The sequence below is a fragment of the Homo sapiens genome, chromosome 1, assembly GCF_000001405.40.
Source record: "Homo sapiens chromosome 1, GRCh38.p14 Primary Assembly".
Lineage (NCBI taxonomy): Eukaryota > Metazoa > Chordata > Mammalia > Primates > Hominidae > Homo > Homo sapiens.
The window spans coordinates 215,111,013-215,136,241 of record NC_000001.11 but is presented as its reverse complement, the minus strand read 5'-3'; the positions used below and the strand labels follow the sequence as shown (position 1 = coordinate 215,136,241).

The following is a 25,229-nucleotide window of genomic DNA, read 5'->3' as shown; positions in this document are numbered from 1 at the left end:
CACCTGTAGTCCTAGCTACTCAGGAGATTGAGGCAGGAGAATCACTTGAACCTAGGAGGTGGAGGTTGAAGTGAACCGGGGTCATGCTACACCTGGGCGACAGAGTGAGACTCTGCCTCCAGAAGTAAAAAAAAGGTGGTAACATTATACACTATTTTGAATGATCACATTTTGGATTATCTAAATATCATTAAAATAACTGGTTGGTAGGCCAGGCACGGTGGCTAACGCCTGTAATCCCAGCACTTCGGGAGGCTGAGGTGGGTGGATCATGAGGTCAAGAGATTGAGAACATCCTGGCCAACATGGTGAAACCCCGTCTCTACTAAAAATACAAAAATTAGCTGGGCATGCTGGCACGTGCCTGTAGTCCCAGCTACTCGGGAGGCTGAGGCAGGAGAATTGCTTGAACCCAGGAGGCGGAGGTTGCAGTGAGCCGAGATCACGCCACTGTGCTCCAGCCTGGGTGACAGAGCAAGACTCCATCTCAAAAATAAATAAATAAATAAATAAAATAAAAAATAACTGGTTGGCCATTTCATTAAATTAAAATAAAAATTAACTAGGTGAAGAAATAGTCAAGTGTGACACAGTCTTGTGGGAATAACTGGTTTGGGACTGAATTTTGTACATTCAAACTATGCTAAACAATTTTTTTTTTAATTTTTATATTATAAAAATTAGGGGTATGAATTAAAGCTATAAGAAACAATCAATTTTATTTTTTAAATATTAGTGGCAGAAATAAATATGTAAAAAATAATATTGGCTTACACTAATAATAAAATAATAAAAATTAGTCAATAATAAAGTTAGCTTACCCTAAAAATTAGTATACAGTCATTCAATATACAAACTATTTTCATATATGCAGCCTCATTTAGTCTTCACAACTCTTGAGAAATACTAGCCCCAGTTGACAAATGAGAAAATTAAGGATAATAGAACTGTGATTTGCCCAGAATCACACTAGCTTTGCCTAGCTAGTGGCAAAGACAAAACCCTGAACCTAAGTTTTCTGAAGTGAAATCTGATGTTCCTTGTACTGTATCACTCCTTTAAAAAAATGTAGAGTTATTTTCCTTCTAAGCAGCATAAGCAAAACTAGTCTGCATCAATATGTACAGCACATGATTTTAGTTGTAGTATAATGCTAATTAGGAGGTCATGTCTGCAGTCTTTTTTTCCATCAAGTTAAAACATAGCTTCACAAAGTTGTCTACAGGTACCACTGAAATTATCTATTAAAACATGTATGCTTTAAACATAGGCTATTTAGGCTGAATATGACTTATTTCATATTCCTCATGATACTATAATTTATAATAAGAAATATATATATATATAGGTCTTCATCCCAAGTTCCTGGCACAGAGCCCCCTAAAACCCTTGTAATTTCTAGAGCAAAAGGGTTACTAGGAGGATCTTTTATTCTAATAATCGGTCTTTGATCCTGGTTCTTGACACAGAGCTCCAATCCCTTAGAATTTCCTGGGTGATAGGAGCATCTTTTGTTCTAATGAGGTGATTCTTACTGGGTTCCTGGATAGCTTCAGGATGGCGGCTGGTCACCAGAAAAAAAACAAGCCATGACTACAAGTTTGGAACTTTCAGCCCCATCGCAATTCTCCAGAAAGGTGAGAAGAACTGGAGACTGATAATCAACCACACTTAGATGATGAAGCTTTCATAAAAATCTCTGAACTATGGGGTTTGGAGAGCTTTGGGGTTGCAGAACACATGGATGTATCCCAGAGAGGTTGTGGAACCTCCTCACCCCTTCCTACATCCCTTTCCCTATGTATGTCTTTCATCTGTATCCCTTGTAATACCCTTTGTAATAAACTGGTAAATGTCAGTAAACTATTCCCTGAGTTCTGTGAGCTGCTCCAGATGAAACCCAGGGAGGCTCGAACTTGTGACCAGCATGTGGAGTGGGGACAGTCTTGCGGGACTGAGCCCTTCACCTGTGGGATCTGATGCTAATTCCAGGTAGACAGTGTCAGAATTGAATTGAAGTAGAGGAAACCCAGCTGGTGTCCAGTGGAGAACTGCAGAAAAATCCCACACATCTGGTGTCAGAAATGCCCTGTGTCAAGTCGTAAGAACACAGTGGGAGAATTTTTTTTTTCTTTTACACCCTTACTTTCATTTTTTCTTCTCTAACTGCTTGGCTTTGGCAATTTCACTCTTTGTTAGCATCTTCAATAAGGGATATTTACGCCTAGAGGGGAGAGGTAGGACACACCAACCAAACTTGGCCTCTTGTTTGTTGTTTTTGCTTTAAAATTAAAGTTGGAAGGGGAAGAAATTTAAGATTAGCAATTAATGTGCATTTTTGGATAACCTGTGGCTTTCAGTAGTTCATATCATCACTAGTCCTCCCAATGCTCTGTTAGAACCAAGAGTTGGCTGTATGGAATTCCTTTCCATTTGGAATAAGTCACGTCAGCATTGTACTTTAGGTGCACATAAACCACAATAGTTAAACATGAACTTCATTTGGCACAGGTACTTTTTTTGTAAACATCATGCAATATGCACCCTACCACATAAATAACAATGCCAATTTTCCAAGAGTAAGTAAGATTGCACAAGTCTAAAATTAAAAAAAAAAAAAGAATTAGGAAGAAAACAAACATGCAGCCTAATTACCAGCTGAAAGTAGACAGGCCTGAACATTGCCACATTCCTTTCTTATCAAACAAAACACCCGAGACACATAGAAAAAAAGTTTCTGATAATCATTACACCTAGTTTTAATCACATTCAGAGCAATACTTGGATGTCTGGTGGTCAGTCAGATGCTCTGCAAAATCTATAATCTAGAATGAACAGCTCTGCATTTCAGAAGTTAGGAAGGGGGAATGACAAGAAAAAATAGGTTCTGTATTTATTCAGGGCATGAACTTCATGACTATTCCTTGCTTCCAATTTTTGGATAATTTCAAGATCACAACATTTAACAGTGATTGCTTTTCAGACGATTAAAATATGCTATTGAAAACTTTTCAAAATTATTCAGGAATGGGTGAAAGTGTGTTTTGTTTCAGAATACAAGCAATTCCTGACTTGAATTACACTAGAGATATGGGCAACTATGATGCTGCTACCCAATATGCAAACTTTCTCTTGCTGAAGCTTCTGTTAGATCTATAATATATTGTTATGTTTTCTCCTGTTACCAAAAACAAACAAAAAAACCCAAAACAAAACAAATTATGCCTAACTTCTGGGAAGATTATATCCCTAATGTTCTCAAATCCCTTTACAGCTAGCACAGGATTCTGGGTACTAGGTGCTCTTCTTGCCTGATGTAACATACATAGGCAATGAGAAGAGAAGACTAATCTATTTCATTATTGCTTTGGAGTCTACAATACTATTTATGTAGTAATTCAGCTTTATTCCCTATCAAATATACTTTTTCACTCTGCCAACTTAGCTATCATTCATAAGAAATTTTCTCTGAGAAACACATTTTAACTTAGAAAATAAATAAGCCTACATGAAGATTTTTGAGTGGCAGGAGCAAACGTTACTAATAATATTCCGATATGGGTTTTGTTTTCATTAATTTAAGTAGATGGGATAAATAACACAAAATAAAAGACCCAAATTTAATTTCAATTTTTGTATTTCAAATACACAATACTGAAAGTACATATTTTGGAAAAATAATCATCTACTTTCACGAGCTTGCATAAAGAAAAATGCAATGAGATTGTAGAGTAGGAACTGGAAGTCACCTTGCAAAATTCATTGTCTTTTAAGCTGCCTGAGAGAACCTCAATGGACTCCCAAAATCCAATACACAATTCTCTGAGAACATGCAAGAGACTAGTGAAATGCCACAGAGTTATGAGTGTACTAAGTTAATAAGTTAGCACCCAACAGGCAGAGCTACAATGACGACATCCTTTGGGAAAAGGCTTACTGACAAATTCCACACCACTGCTTCAGGTCCATTCATTTCCAAGTTCAGGCAGTGGCTTCTGTGGTCATAAAGTTGAACAGAAAACACAATTTTTCCTCATCCTTTCAAGTTATAGTTTTGTCCCACATCCAACAGAAAGAAAGGTATTAGACTCCCTGCTGAAAACAAGCATAGGCTTTGCGGTGTTCAGTATACTTTCTGTATTTCCAAAAGTGACTCCTTTTTATCTGGAATTGCTTGTTAAAATTACTGCAAACTTTTAATTTTCTTCCTGGTGTTTTTTTGTTTTGTTTTGTTTTCGTAATTACTTAAGCATTATACCAAACTGGAAAAATACAAGTTTGCAGTAAGTCTGTGATTGTTATCATAATAGCTTTAGCAATTCAATCTAGGTAAAAGCCAACTGAAAGCCCCAGTGGCAGGTTCAAAATATAGAAACAAAAATACAAACAGAAAATCACAGAAACTGTTTAGCCAAATTCAATCTCTACACTCCGGTGATAGAAAATAAGAGTCATTTGAAAATATGAGAAATGTTGCTCTAAGGAAAAATTAAGTTTTTCATTAAGACTGAAGAGAAATGCTTTGGTATCTTAAAGTCACTGTAGACCATAGTGGCCTTCTTGTTATTTGCATTCTGACACTCAGATATAATAATTGAGTGATAAATGCAGGCAACTCCTAACCCTGACATTGCAGTTTACTTTCCACTGGAGAATATTTTATTGTTTTAAATATAATTATATTAAATTATATTAACATATAACTAGATTAATATATAATTATAATTAATATAATTTTATATATTAATAATTTGCATACATTAATATCAATATATAATTTATATAAAATAATATATGAATATAATACATAATAATATAATTATATAAAATATAAATATACTAATTACATATTACTATATCAATAAAATTAATATGTAATATATAATAAATTGATATTATATTTATATAATTATAAAAATTATAATTTTAATGCTTCCAAGTAATAAAATCTTCTTACATTTTATTCTAATCTTTAAATTGGTCTTGAAATAGAATACAGTTGTCCATACGTCATTTTTGCCAACTGCCTTTCCCATAGTTTAACTGATAAGATTAAAAAAAAACTTAAAAATAAAAAAAACTTGCTGGGCGCGGTGGCTCACGCCTGTAATCCCAGCACTTTGGGAGGCCGAGGCGGGCGGATCACAAGGTCAGGAGATCGAGACCATCTTGGCTAACACGGTGAAACCCCGTCTCTACTAAAAATACAAAAAATTAGCCGGGCGCAGTGGCGGGCGCCTGTAGTCCCAGCTACTCGGGAGGCTGAGGCAGGAGAATGGCGTGAACCTGGGAGGCGGAGCTTGCAGTGAGCCGAGATTGTGCCACTGCAATCCGGCCTAGGCTAAAGAGCGGGACTCCGTCTCAAAAATAAATAAATAAATAAATAAAAATAAAAAAAACTTAAAAATTAAACGCTAAGCCCTCTAAAGCATTATTCTGAGAGGAGTATATCTCCATCTGTAAACTTTTTTTAAGACCACATATCTGTCCACCTTTCACCCTCCTCACTGCTACCTCCTTAGTTCAAGTCAACATCTTTTCCCATATGGATTAATAGATTAACAAGTCTGTGAGATGTTTCCTCCACCCAGTTCTCTGATTCTCTAACAACAACAATTCAATTCAATTCTGTAGGAGTCCAGACCTACAGATTAAGAGCTCAGTCCACAGGACAGCTTCCAAGTCAGACACCAGTAGCAAATGGCATGCTGTGCTGCTCACATTTCTTTCTGCCTGGCCAACTGCAAATTCAGGGGTTCCTAGGACCTCTCCTCAGATTGGTTAACTCCCTAGAAAGATTCACAGAACTCTGGAAAGCATTTTCCTTACTAATGCTGTCTATCATAAAGGATATAATTTAGGAACAGCCAAATGGAAGAGATGCATTTGGGTATGCGTAGAAGTAGGGGGTACGGAGCTTCTATGTTCCACAGCTTCCCCCACCATACTACCCTCCCACCACCAGTATTCACCAACCCAGAAGCTCTCTGAACTCCATCATTTAGGGGATTTTATGGAGCTTTCATGAAGTAGGCCTGACGATTAAATAATTGGCCATTGGTGATTAAACTCAACCTCTGGCCATTCTTCCCTCCCCAGAGTCCTGGGAGTGAGGCTGAAAGTTCCAATCTGATAATCACATGGTTGGTTTCTCTGGCTATTAGCCCCCATCTTGAAGCTATCTAGCAGCCCACCAGTAGTCACCTCATTAGCATAAACTCAGACATGGTTGAAAGAGGCTTGTTTTGAATAACAGAAGACATTCCCATCACTCAGAAAATCCCAAGGTTTCTAGGAGCTCTGGGCCAAGAACCTGGGTCAAAGACCAAATATATTTTTGTATTATACCACATTTTTCAATGGTCTTCTGCTTCAGCTTTTGCCTTCTGAATGACAGCCAGCATCACATCATGCTTGTTTGTCTTTTGCTTAAATCTTTCAGTGGCTGCCTACTGAATTTAGAATGTTACCAGGACCTATAGAGTCCTACATGATCTTGCTGCCTCTTATCTCTCTAACCTCACTTCTTTCTCCGGCTCCCCTTCCTCCAGTCCCCCAGGCACTGCCTCATCTGTATTCTTTGAACATGCCAAAATCTGTCCCACCCAGATCTTTGCATTGTTGTGCCCTTTGCCTTCATTAATCTTTCCACTTTTCTTTACATAGCTGATTTATTTTCATCATTCAGGGTTCAGCTTAAATGTCACCTCCTCAGAGAGTTCTTGAATCAGCCTCTTTAGAACACCTCCCACTCCTTACTCTGGCTCCATCATCTACTCTCTGTCATGAGTTTCTTTTGCTACATTTATTGCAATCATTCATGGTCTTGTTTTTAATGTACTGATTGATCATTGGTTTCTTCAACCCCAATATTTCTAGTCTTGCTGAATTCAAGAAGAAACAAACAAACAAACAAAAAATGGGGGTAGGGGGAGAAGGGAATGACTAAAATGAATCTTCCTAAAATAATACAACATATAAAATCTTGGCCATATTTTTACTCCTTTCTCACAAAAAAAATCAACTAGCACTGTCCATGAGTTACAAGACTGCTGCCTAAATACTCACTTCACTTTCAATATTTTGACTCTTGTCTCTTCATTCTATTAGTCACCAAGGCCTATTGATTCTTGTATCTAATTATTTCGACATTTTGTGGTTACTCCTGTCCTTCCACACCAACTCCAATCATCCCAGTCAATACATCCCTCCTTCCCTGGGTCACTGCAATGCCTCCTAACTGCTCTCTCAGACAAACTGTCAGTATTTGCTAATCCTCTTCCTGACAAATGTCACTTTTAAACTTTTACTTCACTTTTATTAAAAATCCATGTTCCATCTTATTGTAGTAGATCCTCAAAAATGGGATTATTTTCAATGCATTCTTTTCATCTAAAGCAGTCAACATTACTTCCCCCTACTTCTTTAAACAATTCTTCTTTAAACAATTCCTTTAAACAAGTCTACTCTAACACTTACCTTTCTATCACCAAAACAAATCCAGCTAACTTCTCTTTTTGGATTTTTGCTTAGTCATGCCACAGACTGGGAGGCTTTTTCCCCTTCCTCAGTCTAAATCAAAACATTTTCTTCAAGTCACAGTTCAAATCCAACTTCCCCACTTAAGCCTTTCCTTTCAGTTCCAGCCCATGTATTCTTCCCTTTTTCTCAATTCTCATAGCACTGAAACCCCTGCTCTGTGTTACATTTGATTATCCAAGACTTATTTTTGTTATTCTTCAGTCATTTCATACGTGGAAATGTTGTCTCCCAAATGAGATTGCAAGCAGGGACTACGTCCTTACTTCCTTTGTACTCCTGGCAGCAGCAGAAGTAGCACAGATCCAGCAGGAGCTTCTTACATTGACTTACTGATTAAAATGATTCTGAGGATGAATCCCATCAACTCCCAGCAGCCATTCTAGATAAATGGCAGTAGCCAAACAGACCACACTGTCTTTTACCTCTGATCTTTTCCACATGAGCTCCCGATGCCTGCAAGCCTCCCTTTCCAACTTTCTTCACCCAGCAAATTCCTAATTCTTTCCAGTCAACTGGGACAATGCCTACTAAGGAAAAGGAAGCATCCCTCAACTCTTTCTCACTCACCTACCCACCCAATATCTATGTAAAGTGTTGCACCAATATGTTCCCATTAAATGCTCTTAACTCACAACTCTTGGCACACTGTATTGTAAATGTGTATTTATTCACACTTCTCCCTGACTGATCTATGTACAACTTAAAGTCAAGGAATTTATTTTTTATCTTTACAGCAACAGAGTGATAGTGTTTTATTATTTGTTGAATTAATAAATAGACAAACAAACTGGCAATGAAATCTGTTGAAAGGGCTAATAATTTAGCCTCACAGGTATCAATATGGTGTTATGTAATTTCCAATAAGTCATAGTTCAGACCATATGAAATGCCTATTTGTTTTTAGTTTCAAAAATAATTATTATGCACCCAATATGTATCAGGCATTTGGAGATACAGACAAGATGCAAATAATTAAAAATCCCTAACTTCATAGAGCTTGCATTTTACTATGAAAAATCAGCAAGGGACTATGGCTTTTGCTCTGACTGAGCTGGAAACCACAGCAGAGTTCTGAACAGAAGGTTTCTGCAATGCTGCTGGCATGTGATGATGCTGCTTTGGACAAAAATGGTGGCAATTTGAATGTGGAGCAGTGGTTAAAGTATGTATATAATTTAAAGGCAAAGCCAACAGGACTGGTATATGGAATGGAAGTGGCATATGAGAGAAAAGGAATGGTCAAGAATGGATTTCAGTCTGTGAAACTATGGAATAGAATTTGTGAAGAATTTGGAAGGGTATAACTTTGGAAAGGATGTTTAGATATATGAAGAGAATTCTAAACTTTGGTCTTAAATTTTAATATTTTATTTTGTATAACTTCCTTGGGCATATTTCCAAGGAATAGTAAGGATCATGTCTGTTTCTTAGAAAAATTGATGAAATTGAACACAAAAACCTTGGACAACTGTGGCCAACTCAGCTCCGTGAAGCACTGCCTGTACCAGGAACCCTATAAAAGCCACTGCAATTTATTTTCCAAAACCCTCCCAACTTCTAATGTCATTTTAAAATGTCTTATGCAATGCAGCTATTGCTAAAGGTCATAATTTCTATGATTGCTAAAAATCACTTCAAAGTTCACACAATTATTATCATTAGCAATATTATTAATTATACTTTGAATTTTATGGAATAATGACTTTAATGTCAAATGCACACTTAGGGAAGAGGCCAAATTTTTTCCCTTGCCCAAGACCACCATAACCTAGTCCAAGATTAGAGGACATGGTGTTGACCTCAAGAGTAAAAGACCATGCAGTAAAAAGTCCTCATGTGGGTCACTCAGAATGACTTAATCCACTGAAGACTAAAGCCTGAGATAGAACAGTAGGAGATCTGGGCTGTCAGGCAACTACCTAAAGGGCCTAAATGATCAGCTACTGTGCTTAATGGCTATAATTTGGAGTAAGGCTGGTAATAATGGTTTATTTTTTTTCATGTGTTGAAGTGTATGTCTGCAAAACTTACTGTATTAGGGGATTCAAAAAATGAGACTGTTTATAAACATACAGGGCAACAGTAAGTCTGTATAATGACTGAGTCTCCTGCAAAATAATTTAGTGGTGGTCATGATGAGTTATAACTTAGACTTTTGAATTTTCGTTGGCAGAAACAAACCATTCTCACTCAGTCTGTAAGCTTTTTTTCTTCTAGACTCTAAGTAGTTTACACAATAAATAGTTATTTCCATAGTAGAAATGGCCAAGATGTCTAAGCCCCAAACTTAACCTGTTATTATGGTTAGAAATCAAGGTTGCCATTCTTCCAGATTTTCACAGCCACACAACTTTTGACCTAGCTGATGGAAATGTAAGAGTAAACATAGTTTCTTGACCTCTTAAAAAAGGCAAAAAATCAGCATGCTAAAGTATGTATTTTGCTGGCATGTGATCCAGCGCAAAGAGGCACTATAGTGGACTCATAACAATAGAACAGTACAAATACCTGTAAAAGGAAAACTTTTAAGTCAGAGTTCATCCGTAAATTTTCCATGTTCTCTTATTTAGTACTTTGATATAATCTACTGATATGAAAATGTTATACATGTCATAATTTATGAATGACATCAAAAAATAAGATTAAAACTTTTAGGGTCTCAATTTATCCCATAATCTGAAACTAGTCCCATGAGATGAAAATCTCTTCACAAAGGTATGTGGAAAGAAAAAACTCCCTTTTTTACATATATTTTCTCACACCTGAAATTCCTTCATAACTATGATGAGCCCATTTCCTTCTCTTTCTTAAAAAATATGCTTGAAATGCATCTCTTTCCATGAACAAGGCAGCTATTACCCTTCCCAAGTCTCACAGAATGACAAACATGGCTTTCTTTTTTTTTTTTTCAAATTTTATTTTATATATATATATATATATATATATATATATATATATATTTATTATACTTCAAGTTCTAGGGTACATGTGCACAACGTGCAGGTTTGTTACATATGTATACATGTGCCATGTTGGTGTGCTGCACCCATTAACTCATCATTTACATTAGGTGTATCTCCTAATGCTATCCCTCCCCCATCTCCCCACCCCACAACAGGCCCTGGTGTGTGATGTTCCCCTTCCTGTGTCCAAGTGTTCTCATTCACAAACATAGCTTTCACTGTGGGGTCTGTGTTTAGGTTTCCTGAATAGCTTTTGGGCACTGAATGACAAACTAGCAGAGAGAGGACATTTACATGTACCCATTCTGCCGCTTTAGAAGATGTCAAACATATGTGTCAGTGAGTTGAAAAAACAGACCACGTTCCATTATGCAACCCTTTCAACATTATAACAAACAATGCGATTAAAAGGTAAAACATCAGGGGTCTAAACTTTCATACTTTTTATAATCCTTACATTTCAGTGTTAAATTTTTATATATGTGCTACGGGCAAAATATAATGTATATAAAAAAAAAGCCCTGAAGTAATCATCATAAATGACCATATAACAGGCACAATCTGTTAAAATGTAGAGTTAAAATTTACAAATTCGAAAAGGTGATATCACGTAAGAACTTCCATGAAAAGAATGTCAAAATTGCTACACAAAAAATATCAAAAATTCAGGAAAATTAAAAACTAATTGCCTAAAGAAATAATCATTTTAAGCTGTTTCTTGACATTACTACCATTAGTCAAATGACTGCTGCATTGCTTCTGTTTCACATGTATTTTAAAGTCAACTCAGTATTCTAAAATAACTAATTCATTTCCATTATTCTTTTGTTTAAATCTTTAAATCCCCTTTTCAAAATCAATTTACTATAATCTAGTTTTTCTACCTTAAGTAGATCATTTTGCCCAACTATACAAAAAATTCAAACAAATGGATTTTAGCTCACAAACGGTATCAAAACAAAAAACAAAAATAAGTTGTCTCCTACCTATGGTTGTAATAACAGTGCCAGCAAAGAAGAAGGAACTTCCCAAATCCCAGTGACTGATTTGATTGGAGGTGTTTCCTAACGGTATAATCCCTGCATTTATTGCTGCCACTATTTGCTGCAAGTTTAAAAAGAAATTTATCAGTACACATGAATCACACAGAGGCATCAAACAGCATATATTCCACCCCAGAAATGACTTATTTGACAAAGAGAATCAACTCTAACATTTTGCTCTTCCATTTAAAATGTATAATATAGCTTAAAACTTTATACTGGAGAATTTAATAACAGTTAAGTTATAAGAAACTGACATGTGATATCAAGTGAATTGATTGGCATGAAGGTTATAATATTGCACCAACATGCTTTCATATTGTCATCCATTAACATATTTAATGACTTATTTGAATTAACAACTAAATTTAACAATGTCCTCCAGTAACCACCACAGCATAAAAATAGCAGGTTGCAAACTATAGTTACAATAATATATAATAGCTTCATCATAAAGAAAGTATTTCCAAAGTGCTGCTCATTTCAAATGTTAAATATATGATCCAAGTCTGGGTTGGCTATAACTGTACCAAGCCTATATCATAAAGAGCTAGCAAAACAACTTAAGATGAAAAGGAAAAGGCAACAGGACTTCACTTTCAAGCTTAAGGCAGTCCATGTAGATGTAGACTCTTAGAATTTCTACAGATTTTAATAAATTCTATGACAATAAGAATCACCAAAGCTCTGTAGATGACAATCTGCCAGCAATATTACATAGAGACCACTAAGATCTATTGCTGAGAATGTTGAGTAGTACTAAGAGAAAGACAGAAAGATGACATTATAATCCCTTCTTCAATCATCCCATGTTGGGAGGTGGGGGTTGGAGAAGGAGAAGCACAAAAGATAAGACAATATGTTAGGAGAAAATGTACAGTAGAAGAGAGACAGATTACAGAGGATGATGTTTCAGTTGGAAATATAGCTTTGGAGATCTTTACTACTTAATCTTCATATTATAGAATTGGAAGAAACATCTTTTGATAAGGAAATTAAAGGCCAAGAGAAGAAAAGTGTTTGGTTTAAGGTTACACAGTTTGCTGGCAAATGGACAATAAGTACACTCTGAAAACGGGGTACTACTCAAGGAAGTCACAGGCACATGAAAAAGAACAGGTAACCCATAGCTGAAATGTAATACAAAATCTCATTTCAGAACTGACCATTATGAAATATGTCTGATTTGTCTTAATCTATGAATTAAAATATCAATAGTTCTGTGTAAATTAAATTACATTGCTTTTATTTACTTTAACAGTGATATATGATCTTTGTAAAAAAAAAAAATAAGAAAATACAAAAAGGCATAAAGAAGATAATAAAAAGTACCCATAATTCCAGAATCCAGAGATAACCACTTTTAATGTATTACAATATCTACCCCTGGTAGTTTTATATCCTCTTTTACATATTTGTATTCTCTACTCTTACTTAGTTAATACTATTCCACATGCAGGTTTTTTTTATTACCATATTTATTTAATCATTGCCCAATATGTAGATATATATGTTGTTCTAAAATTTGAATTAATATAAAATGTGCTGTTGTGAACATATTTATGTATAAATATTTTCCTATTTCTGAACATTTCCCCAGGAGAGATTGCTAGGAATAAAGTTGTCACATTAAAGATTATGAATGTTTTCGGTGGGGCGTGGTGGCTCACGCCTGTAATCCCAGCACTTTGGAAGGCCGAGGCGGGTGGATCACGAGGTCAGGAGATCGAGACCATCCTGGCTAACATGGTGAAACCCCATCTCTACTAAAAATACAAAAAACTAGCCGAGCGTGGTAGCGGGCGCCTGTAGTCCCAGCTACTCGGGAGGTGGAGGCAGGAGAATGGTGTGAACCCGGAGACGGAGCTTGCAGTGAGCCGAGATTGTGCCACTGCACTCCAGCCTGGGCGACAGAGTGAGACTCCATTTCAAAAAAAAAAAAAAAAAAAAAAAGATTATGAATGTTTTAAGCATTTGATGTATAGTAGCGAATAAGTATCTTAGAAGGTTGTTTCCATTTACAACTGCCCCCCAACAATTTACAAATGCTTAGCAATATTTCTAATATTAATGACATTTATCTTTAATGAAGTGATAAAATATGGTTCCATTTATATAACCCTTATCATGAATAATACTGAACATGAATGATTCCTTTATCTAATATTAAATGCACAGAAGTATATACATATACACACATATGCACAACACACAGTGAAGCTTGAGATAGCTAATTCTATTCATCTAACTCTGTGTTGTAACTATAGTATCAGATAAGGCAGGTTTCCCTTCATTATCTTTCTTTTAAATGTTTTTGTAGTTATTGCTCTCTTATTCCTGTATAAACTTTAGAATTTAAATCTTACAAAAATTTTTATTTTCATAGATTTAACACATTTCCATTGAAATATGTTGAATACTTCACATATGTTAAATGTTTGGAAATAGATGAAATCTATAAATGAAAAAGTAAACACTATTATAATACTCAAACTTCATACCAAGGAAGATGGTATGAATCTCTATGTATTGAGTTCCCTATACTATACTGATTATATATACCATATAGATCTATAAGGTTATTCCCAAATATTTCACTTTTTTTCCACTTTGAATTATAATTGGTTATTGCTGTTGTATACATAAATATATATTGCCAATCCTCTGCACCAGCAATTCTCAAAATTTTTATCTTAAAATAGTTTACAGTCTCAAAAATTAATGAAGATATCAAAGATCTTCTGTTTGTGCCAGTTATAACTGTTCACATTTCCTGTATTGGTTTGAATTTCTGATTTTTAAGATGTTCTTGTAAAAATATCAAGAAAGCCCATATATGTTAACCTAAGTGATCTATTTTTACAATAAATAATTATGTCTCTAAAACAAAATACATAGTGAGAAGAGAAACAATTTTACAATTTTATAAATCTCTTTTAATATCTAGCTTAATAGAAAACAGGTGTATTTTAATATGTTTCTGCTTTCAATCTGTTGGAATAGCACATCACATAGCTGCTGGCAGACTTCATTGTAAACTCAAAAAGTGAGACACATTATTATGTATTTTTTATATTGAAAAGACAAAAACATCTTAGTACTATAGAGAAAATATCTTTGGCCAAGTGTGGCGGCTCCTGCCTTTAATCCCAGCACTTTGGGAGACTGAGGCAGGTGAATTACTTGAGCTCTGGAGTTGGAGACCAGCCTGGGCAATACAGTGAAACCCCATCTCTACAAGAAATACAAAAAATTAGCTGGGCCTGGTGGCATAATCCCAGCTACTAGGGAGGCTGAGGTGGGAGAATTGCTTGAGCCTGGGAGGTCAAGGGGACACTGAGCTGTGATCATGCTCTCCAGCCTGGGTGACAGAGCAAAACCCTGTCTCAAAAAATAAATAAATAAAATAACTTGGATCTTAACAAACCTCTGAGGGGGTCTTGAGGACCACATTTTGAAAACAACTATTCTGTACTGAACTTGTTATTTTTGTTTGTTTGTTTGATTTCGGTTTTTACCTGGAAAACCAAAGTAAGCAATGCTTTAAAATAATGGCATTTTATCTCCACATCTTTCAATAGCTATATATTATTGATTTTCAACTCTTATTGGACTGAACAGTCTTTCCAGAGCTAAGTTAAATAAGAATAATGACAGCAGATTCTTCATTTTTGTCACATAAAGTCATCAATGGTTTAAGTGTTTAATCACTAAATATATTGGCTGTTGGCAAGAAAATGGCATTTAATTAAATAAAATATGACAACAAGCAAACAAAAAAAGACATAAAACTTTAAAAAACTAAAAAATAACTTTGGAAAATATTTTAAGATAGCAATAAACATACAGGGGATGGAACAGAGGTAATAAGTGAAGAAATATAAAATGGTTCGATTTTAGCATAAATCAAATAAAGTTATTGGTTCATACACTCTAATCTAGTGAACTCATAGGCTATGTAGCTTAAAAATATATATCAAGGCTTCCATAAATCTGAAAGAGTTGCTTGTGATCATCATGCTGTTATCTAGTTACTCTGGAGGGAATGGTTTCACAGTTAATAAACATGGAAATGCCACAGATTCACGTGCACACAAACAATTAGGCACAGGTACAGGGTCATCTAGGTTTGTAACTCTCAGGAAGAACTAAATGTTTCCAGTAAAAATCAGGGAAGGGGAATTTAGACAGATTATACTTGCATCAAAAGTATATTTTTAGATTTTACGTACATTTCTTCAACACGTTCATTTATTCAAAAATATTTAGCAGTTGTATATGGTACTAGGTGATGGGGAAGCAATAGAAAAGAAGAAACATACATGGTGTTGTAGATGAGAAAAGATAAGGTAAGTCTTCAGACTCCGCCCCCATTAATTAAAATTATTTTATTGACTATAGCAATTGATTTAATATAGCCTTCATAACCAGCACTATGATTTTAGCTTATTCTTTTTCTCATCAATAATGAATTACAACATCACCCAGACACTTGGATAAAGTCCACAAATTATTTAAATTCAAAAGAAGACTATAATCAGAAACAGTAGTGTCTGGCAACATGTGGGTTGTAAATCATTATCACAGAGCTGTAATTATTGAAACAGAGGTTTGAGATAGAGCTGAGGGTATGTCAAATCACTATGAGAATGAGTCTACCATGAGGTCTTTTCTCTAGAATATTCTTGTAAGTCTATTTTGTATTTTTGTATGAGGTGTCTTGGTCAACATCCACAGGAAACTGGATGTCCTTTCCCACTCACTGACGTAGAGCTAAGAATCTCTGAAATTTCAACATCAGTTCAGGTCATCAGAGTACTTTTCCAATGCCTTCATGAGAACTGTTTCTGGGTGTGTCACATTATGTGGCTAAAGTAACATAATCACCGAATAGATAATAAAATTTCACTTTTTCATTAAAAGCAACATTTCTGTACAATCAAGTCATGTTGACAACTTATGAATAAGTTGAATGGTTTAGGTTAAGATAAGCGAAGATGGAATCCTATATATTTCATCCTAATACATGATTACCTGAAGTGCTGATTAATAAGAAAGGGCTTCCAAACTTAAAACTTGCCACAGAAACAGTAAAAGATAATCTTGATTGGATTCACATTTAATTTTGCTCCTCCGTTTATAGACAAGTATAGGATGGACACTAGGAAAATTAGTTGAATACATGGTTCCACTTAAGAGTGTAGCATTAAACTTAAGAAATAGAGCTCTAGGAGGCTTATACTCATACACATGATAAAGATAATTATGGAACATCTTGATTTCCATGACAATGGTGGCTTTAGAATCAAAGTTCACAAAGTTCCACTGTGAATTTGTGGATTTTTGAATTGTAAATTGTAAATGCTGTCTCAATGCCATCTGGCATTCTGGAGCTTTATTCACTTTAACACCAAACAATGATAAAACACACTTACTTGTAAGTATATGGGACTAGTACAGACTTGGCATTCAAGGAAGTGACTGACAATCATGAAAATGTTTCTGTCAGTCCAACTCCAAGGAACAGCTTTTTGTGTGCTATAAAGTACTAGAATGGCCATGTTTTCATTAAAGAAGAAGATATAGGGAATTTAGCAATTTTGGAAAAGGCTGAAGAATGTACTGCTTTCAGAGTAGGCTATATTGTGGATCTTAAAACACAAATGGCACCAGAAGTTCTGATTTTACTTATTTTTCCTATACTGAGATGTTTATGTTCATCAAAACAGTACAGAATGTTTTGAACAAATTCCTCCTCTGTTATCATCAGGATTTCATTAAAATATGCTGTCACACCTATCATCCTAAAAGTAGAATCACATTAATAATTTGAACACTTTTAAGTGATAAAGAAAATTCTGAACTGCAGGTACAAGGGGTTAACACCTAATTAGTTTATACCAATGATATATGTATAACTGGTTCGATGCCAACTTATTTTAATTGGATATTTAAGATTTTTTCCGCTTTTTCTCCATTTTTAAAAACGACATAATTTCCAATAAGTTGTACAATGGCCAAATCCACTTATAATTATACTGACATATATACAGTAACACAGCTCCTGAAACAGTAACAAGTATCATCTTGCCAAATTTCTGGTAGTTGCAATTATAGATTTTTATTTGCGACCATTTCTTTGCGGGGGAAGCCAGTTTCCACACTGAGAAGAAACTAGTCTTTAGATAACGAATCCAATCACACATCCACAACACTACATGTGACCACTTCAACCCATGTAAGCAAGATTATTTTTAAAAACTTGAAGAATGTGGGATGAGGAAAGTAAAATAATAAATGATGCTCTCATTGCCAAAAGACTTTGTGGGGAGATAATAGTGGGTATCATTACGATTTATGGTTGCAGCACAAAAATAATCATCACCCATCAATAATACACAGTCATGTGTGAGTATTGTTGCCAAAGGCTACAGGATCCTCATGCATCTCATTCTTAACCTCTGGCTATGTGTCAACACTATGATTACCTTATTCCAGATGATGTGAGCTGTTTTGAATGGTCCTGCTATTAAAACCAGAGAGTATCTCAACATGGCCCTTACTCTTACAGGCTCAGAATTTCACAGACTGCACTGGTGGAGCCTAGGCAACCTTGACTGGCAGGTTTGAAACAATGAGGAACCACACTGGATTATCCATTTTCTAAGTATTTTTAAAATTTACTGGACATATATATCTGGAATGTTATTTATGGACATCATTTACACAAGACACTCCTCCTCTAACATCAGTAACATGTGGCAGTCTTAATGATTGGGCTGCTTCTTGGGCCATTTTACATATTAAATTAGGTTCCACTAAGGGGCAGCAGGATACTAGACCCATCTTCTTTACCTCTTTGTCCTTTCATGATATTCTGGAAACTAAAGTATGTCATTGGGTTCCTTGCATAAAATAATATTCCTGTCGAGTGCCACTAGGACCCTTAATAACCGAACAAGGAAGCAAACAACTTCTTGAAAACCACACTACACTAGCATATTGCTCTTCAAGAATATTCCATGAGCAGTTCTCAGTTAATGCTAACACTAGGCTGAAGCATATAAAATTGCCAATATCTGAGCATTTGGTGCAGGCAAAATGGCAATTAAATATGAGCATGCAAAAGAATAGTACTTGTGTTTTGATGAACAGTGTGTATAACATACTAAATTTCACTGCAGTATGATATTTATTACTGCAGAATTAAGGCTAATTTCCATGAACAGGAAAAACATTGTTACTAGCATATCAATCGATTAGGCTCTCATTACAGTTCTACAGTGAAGGATACATACTTATCAAAGGAAAACCCTTTATTGCCTAGAATGTTATTCTGAGAGAACACAGAGTGATTGTTGAATCCTTACTGGAAATTCAAGTTGTATTCCATTTTTGCATACATCTGAGAGATCCAGAGATACTATTTAATATTTAAGATAATTAAATTTTATAGAAGTTAATTCATATATCTGTGATTTGATATCAAATTTTGTGACTCATTACATGAAACTAGTTTTTCAGAAATTCTGTAGTTATATGGACATGGTACTTGTTTTATTTTTTTCTAGGAAAAATAGAGGCATCTGTCTAAATATAAAATGCAGAAATCACAAAGTTACATTCCACAATTAAATGTAATGTTATAGAGTACTGACAAATGTTAGATTTTCAAAACCTAGCATCAATAATCTTTTTCTTTATAAAAATATATATTTGATTTCATGTGGAGAAAAGAAATGGAGTAGTACTTTGCATATTTTATACAAAACATAGGTGTTTAAATCATACTACACTTAGAGACTGATAAGCATATTTTCAAGGTTCCCCCCCCAGCATATTTTGTAAGGAAGATTTTGTAAGAAACAATATGCCATAATGTTTCTTACAAAAATATGAGTCAAAATATATTTATTTCATGAAGACTTTATAAAAATAAAATTTAATTCTTATTACTTAAAAGGGATATTATTTTCTACAGAAGGCAGTTTCTGCACACCAGACTTTAAGGAAGCACGTCTAAAAGTAAATATCTTGCTTACCTTCTGATATATTTCCTTCCATTTGGGGATTATGCAATCGAGTGTCAAAGCTATTTTTAAACAGACTAATGAAGTGTACAGCTTTTTTCTTGCTCTTTTGAAAGTGTAAATTTATTTTCTGTTAGTAGAAACAAAAGCTTAAAATCCAAAGCAGGGAACAACAGATTTGAGAGCAGATATCATTGAAGGGCCAGAAACCATGAAGCATACTGCTGGGTATTTGGGTTGTCTTTCCTGGTCATATCCATTTAGGGAGATTTTTTTAATCATAAAAGTAATATACATATTATTGGACATTTGGAAAAATAATACTAAAGAAAAAAAATCAGTCACGGTTCCTAAAACAGTATTTTGCAACATGCATATATTCACGTTTTAATAGTTGTAACAATAAATCTGCTGAAAACTCTTTTCATATAACATAAGCATATTCCAAGGCATTTTGTAGTCTTCAGAGCTATCATTTTTAAGGACTTCAATATCTCACTGAGTAGCTACATTTAACATAGTTTACATAACTATTCCTCTATTATTGAGTAAACCTGTCTAATGTCTAAGGGCAAGTAACCATTAGCTGACTTGTTACAGGGAAGATTTATATATCAGGCAAGGGCTGAACTTGAAACACTGAAATTCTTTTTCCTTTGAGCCTCAATGAAATGAGCACAGTGGTGTATAGAAAAAAAAAAAAAAAAACATGATGAAGACCCTGTGCAACTCTAAAGGAGCCAGTCTACATATGTGAAGCAAGCACACTGAAGCGGCATTTCCCTGGTGTGCATTTTTCCATGAGTCTTCCTAGATTCCATATTACTGTATGGAATAATATTTTATGGGACCATTAATCTTTGTCTATCTTTCTGGCCACCTTCTACCCCATCTCAGCATGAGTGGAAGAAAAAGATTAATTTTTTTAAAAAAAAAAGGAAAGCATGAAAGAGAAGGAGGTAGAAGAAGAAGTCAGAAAGAAACCAAAAGGCAAGGAGAGAGGAAAAAGATCAAGGTTGTTTAGTTAGTAAGGAAGACACAGTTCTAGGACAGTAAGATATTTATCTAGGCAGTTCCTTTAAAAGAGGTTGTCCTTAAAATAGGATTTGAGTAGGCAGGAGACTGAGATCAGGGAGACAGTACCTGAAACAATATTTTTGTACCATGTTGCCCAAGGCGTGCTACACTAACCAACATTTATTTACACATTATTTTTCTAAGGCCTGAATTTCTAAACTGATGAGAAGAAAAAGGCTAAAATGTGAAAAAGGATGTTTTTCTCTGTCAGTTACACACATCCATAGGGTTCCTAAATTTGGAAAACCTCTCGTTTTTTTCCAATATAATGTCACTAATCTCTATTCATTTGATTTCCCAATGCACTTAAGCCTATAGTTCCATAATGGATACAAGTTTAAACAAAAAGAAAGTGTTTTGTACCTATATAAAGGTAATCACAGGCAGGGGAAATGGTTATGAAAATTATTCAAGTTTCCACAGAAAGGCAATATTTTTATGTAAGTTTTAAAAACAAAAGGATTTTTTCCTGTCCTTCCAGAATCATAGTGAGAACTGAAATTAAAAAATCATAGTAACTAAAATATCATAGTGATGATTGAAAATCTCAAGCTTTGTACACACACACACACACACACACACACACACACACCTGACAAAGTAACCAGTTAACACAATTTATATTTGAATAAATCAAACTTCCTACAACCCAAATTAGTCATGAGTAAAGGCACTATACTAAGACATTCCAATAATATCCTGATAGACAGATCCTGTTTCAGGCCCCATAAAATGTGTATTTCTCACTTTGAGTGAGTTGACTCATTGCCATTAATAACCTACAAGAAATTTCTGTGCTTTTAGGCTCCAGGTAAAACTTCTTAATATACTGCATGGGAAGTTTATTAATGACTTGCTAACATTATGCAGAGAAAAGGAAGTCTTGCAAAACTGTTTAATATGTTTATATTTCTTGGCTCAATGTCACAAAATCAAGACAGCAAAAATAATATATAACTTCCCAAAACATAGTGATTCATACTGATTCTGTCTTAGCTTCTTAGCTTTTTCCAAGTTTCCCCCGCCTTTCTCAATTACACACCCATACACTCACCAGTTATAGCAAATACTGAATTGGTTGAACTCTATTTTGTTTGAGAAACAAGAACCTGATAGAATTTCTTGCCCTTTTTTGAGCCAACTGGAATAATGGAGCTACCCTTTGACACCTGTCCAGTAGTTATTACACAAAAGTGCAATTAAACCTTTCCCTCAGGCACCTCTTTGGCTGGCATGAGAGTGTCACACCACAACCATCAGCGCTGAAAATGAACTTGGCACCTTTCCTCATGTTTTCTACATTAGTCACTCACTTATACTGTATTGTTTGTCTTCATTCACAACTAAGATACTAATCTCAACAATGCTTCAGAGCACAGCACCCTATGAAAGGGAAGATGCTTCAGAATTCTCATAATAAGCATGAGGCTGGTGGGTCTTCTCTCCACTTCATCTGTCTCCTAACTCCCACAATCCAAGAATATGTTTATGTTGGTGAAACATGCAGAAAACTTTTAAACCAAGCAGGGAAAGAGAAAAGTCAAAAGTCACAAAAAAGCAACATGCAGTCTCTCGAGGATTCAGAAGAGGCATGAAGGGGAAAGGTTATGGGCATTAGGAGATGACTAACTACACTTGAACCTCACTCACACTTTCATTTTTAATCACTTGCTGTATATCTGTTGGGGCTGTACATCTGTTGGGATTACATGCCTGTAGTCCCAGCATTTTGGGAGGCCGAGTTGCGCAGATCACTTGAGGCCAGGTGTTCAAGACCAGCATGGTCAACATGGGAAAACCCCATCTTTACTAAAAATACAAAAGTTATCTGGGCGTGGTGTTGCACACCTGTAATTCCAGCTAATAAGGAGGCTGAGGCATAAGAATCGCTTGAACCTGGGAGGAGGAGGTTGCAGTGAGCCGGGATCGTGCCATTGCACTCCAGCCTGTCAACAGAACAAGACTCTGTCTCAAAAAAATAAAAATAAATAATATGTTGGGTGTCCTCTAGACAGCTACTTCTCTTTAAGCTAACTATTTGAAACAGCAGTGCAAGACCGGAGGGGCTTCACCAGAACCTTGTGAGCATTATGCATATAGTGTTACTTAAGAGGAATCAGATACATACTTATCTTTCACAAAAGCTGAGGCAGAAAGAGGCTAAGTGGGTCACTTGGTCAAAATAAGTAAAATATGCCAAAAGAATAATAAAATAACTTGGCAAGCCAGGTTCAGGTCTTGGGGTTATATTAATAGTTCAGTTGTATTACTGCTTTGGTTGCCTCACCTTGCATATAGCTATCATTTACAATATTATTTCTATGTGGAAATACTGAAAGTTCTAAGCAAAAAAAATACATTCATAAATGAATTTTTTAAAGAACTAACTCATAAAGTTGAACGTCGGTGAACATTTTATTTTATCCACGTGTATGATGCATTCTAAATAGTCATCAGGCCTTGTCTTATATGTTTATGTCGCATATGGCCTATGTGTCCAGTATAATGTTAACTACTCAAGAATCATTTGTAGTATATTCTATGCTTACTGATTTTTGAGTAGACATAAAATCACTATCATGAACTGTCAGAATACAGTATAGTCATCTACTGTTAAGCGACACGTGACTACACTGTATTCTGTCAGTTTGCGATAGTGAGAAATGTGATACTGAGAAAGGTGTGGTTAGGCAATTTCATCATTTTGTGAACATCATAGAGAGTACTTCCACAAACCTAGATGCGATAGCCTACTGCACACCTAGGCTATATGGTATAGCCTATTGCTCCTAAGCTATAAACCTGTACAGCATTTTTCTGTACTGAATACTTAAGGCAACTGTAAGACAATGGTATTTGTGTATCTAAGCATATGGAAACATATGATAGATACAGTAAAAATTGGGTATAAAAGTAAAAAATGGTACACTTACATGAATGGAGCTTGCAGGACAGGAAGTTGTTCTGGGTGAGCCAGTGAGTGAGTGGTGAGTGAATGTGAAGGCCTAGGACATCATTGTACACTTAGGGTACACTGAATCTATTTTTAAAATAAAACTAACTTTCTTCAATAACAAATTAGCCTTAGCTAATTGTAAATTTTTCACTTTATAAACTGTTTAATTTTTTGACTTTTGTACTAGCACTAAGCTTAAAACAAAAACACATTGTACAGCTGTATAAAAATATTTTTTCTTTATATCTTTATTCCATAATCTTTTTTTTAACTATTTAATTTTTTTAACTTTTTAAGCACTTTAAAAAAAAAAAACTAAGACACAAACAAATCATCCTAGGCCTGCACAAGGTCAGGATTGTCAATACTACCGTCTTCCACCTTAATCATGTCTCACTGGGTTTCTCCCAGGGGAGGGAAAGAGAAGACTGACTGAAACATATGTCCAGCAAGCAGACTTTCCAAAAGGCTTCTTGAGGGACTGGTGCCTGTCTTGTCCAGCTAACAGCATTAACAGGACCTAACACGCTCTAGAAGTCTGGGAGCCACTGAGAACAAAGAAGAGCTGAGCAGCATGTGGTAGCTCCAGAGAGAGCAAGAGATTACAAGCCCCTGAAAAAGAAAAGAGTAAATCCCTGTACTTGGTAACTTACAGGCACAAGTCCAGAGAACGCACAACTATAAAAAAGATTTGAGGCCCACAGAATCTCTAGGCAGGCTGATTAGGGCTGATTGGTGATTAGGTATTTCCCCACATGAATCCAGTCCTTAGAGATTTACAGAGGTGACTCTTTATTTCACATGCGTAGATCCAATCATAAAAGTTACAAGGCACATAAAGAAACAGGGAAACATGGCCCAATTAAAGAACAAACTAAATCTCCGCATACTGATCCTAAAGTAACAGAGGCATATGAATTATCTCATAAAGATTCAAAATAACCATCATAAAGACGTTCAACAAGCTCAGAAAAATAATGTATGAACAAAATAAGAATGTCAACAAGAGACATAAAATATAAACAAGAACCCAACAGAAATTTTGGAGCTGAAGAATACAATAATTTAGTGGAAAAATTTACTAGAGTGGTTCAACTGCAGACTTGATCAAGCACAAGAAAAAAACAGTGAACTTCAACAAACATCATTTGATAGTATCCAGTTAAAAGAGCAAAAGGAAAAAAATAATTTAAAAGAGTAAAGAAAGCCTAGTGACAGAGGATAAACCATCAAATGAATGAATATATACAACAAATAATAGTCATATATAACACCCTACAGTTAACATTATACTCAATGGTGAAAAACTGAAGCTTTTCTTTTAAGATCAGGAACAAGACAAGGAGGCCCACTCTCACCATTTCTATTCAAACAGTACTGGAAATCCTAGGTAGAGCAACTTGGCAAGAAAAAGAAATAAAAGACATCCAAATCAGAAAAGAAGACACGAAATTACCTCTGCTCTCAGATTACATGAAAAGACATGCAGAAAACGTTAAGTGCATACTACTAAGTGAAGGAAGCCAATCTTACCAAGCTACATGCTATATAATTCCAACTATATGACATTCTGAAAAAGCAAATTATGGGGACAGTAACAAGACTGTGATTGTCAGGA

The 25,229-nt window shown here is 35.3% G+C and overlaps 1 protein-coding gene across 7 annotated transcripts in view; it reads right to left on the bottom strand.

The window, feature by feature from the left end:
• KCNK2 (potassium two pore domain channel subfamily K member 2) overlaps nucleotides 1–25,229 on the bottom strand; it is a 231,549-nt gene that overhangs the window by 100,849 nt on the left and 105,471 nt on the right. For all 7 annotated transcript variants that reach the window (XM_017001249.2, NM_001017424.3, XM_011509524.3 and 4 more), the window contains one exon: nucleotides 11,492–11,609. In XM_017001249.2, the coding sequence (XP_016856738.1) occupies nucleotides 11,492–11,609 (118 nt within the window). The remainder of the gene's footprint in view (nucleotides 1–11,491; nucleotides 11,610–25,229) is intronic.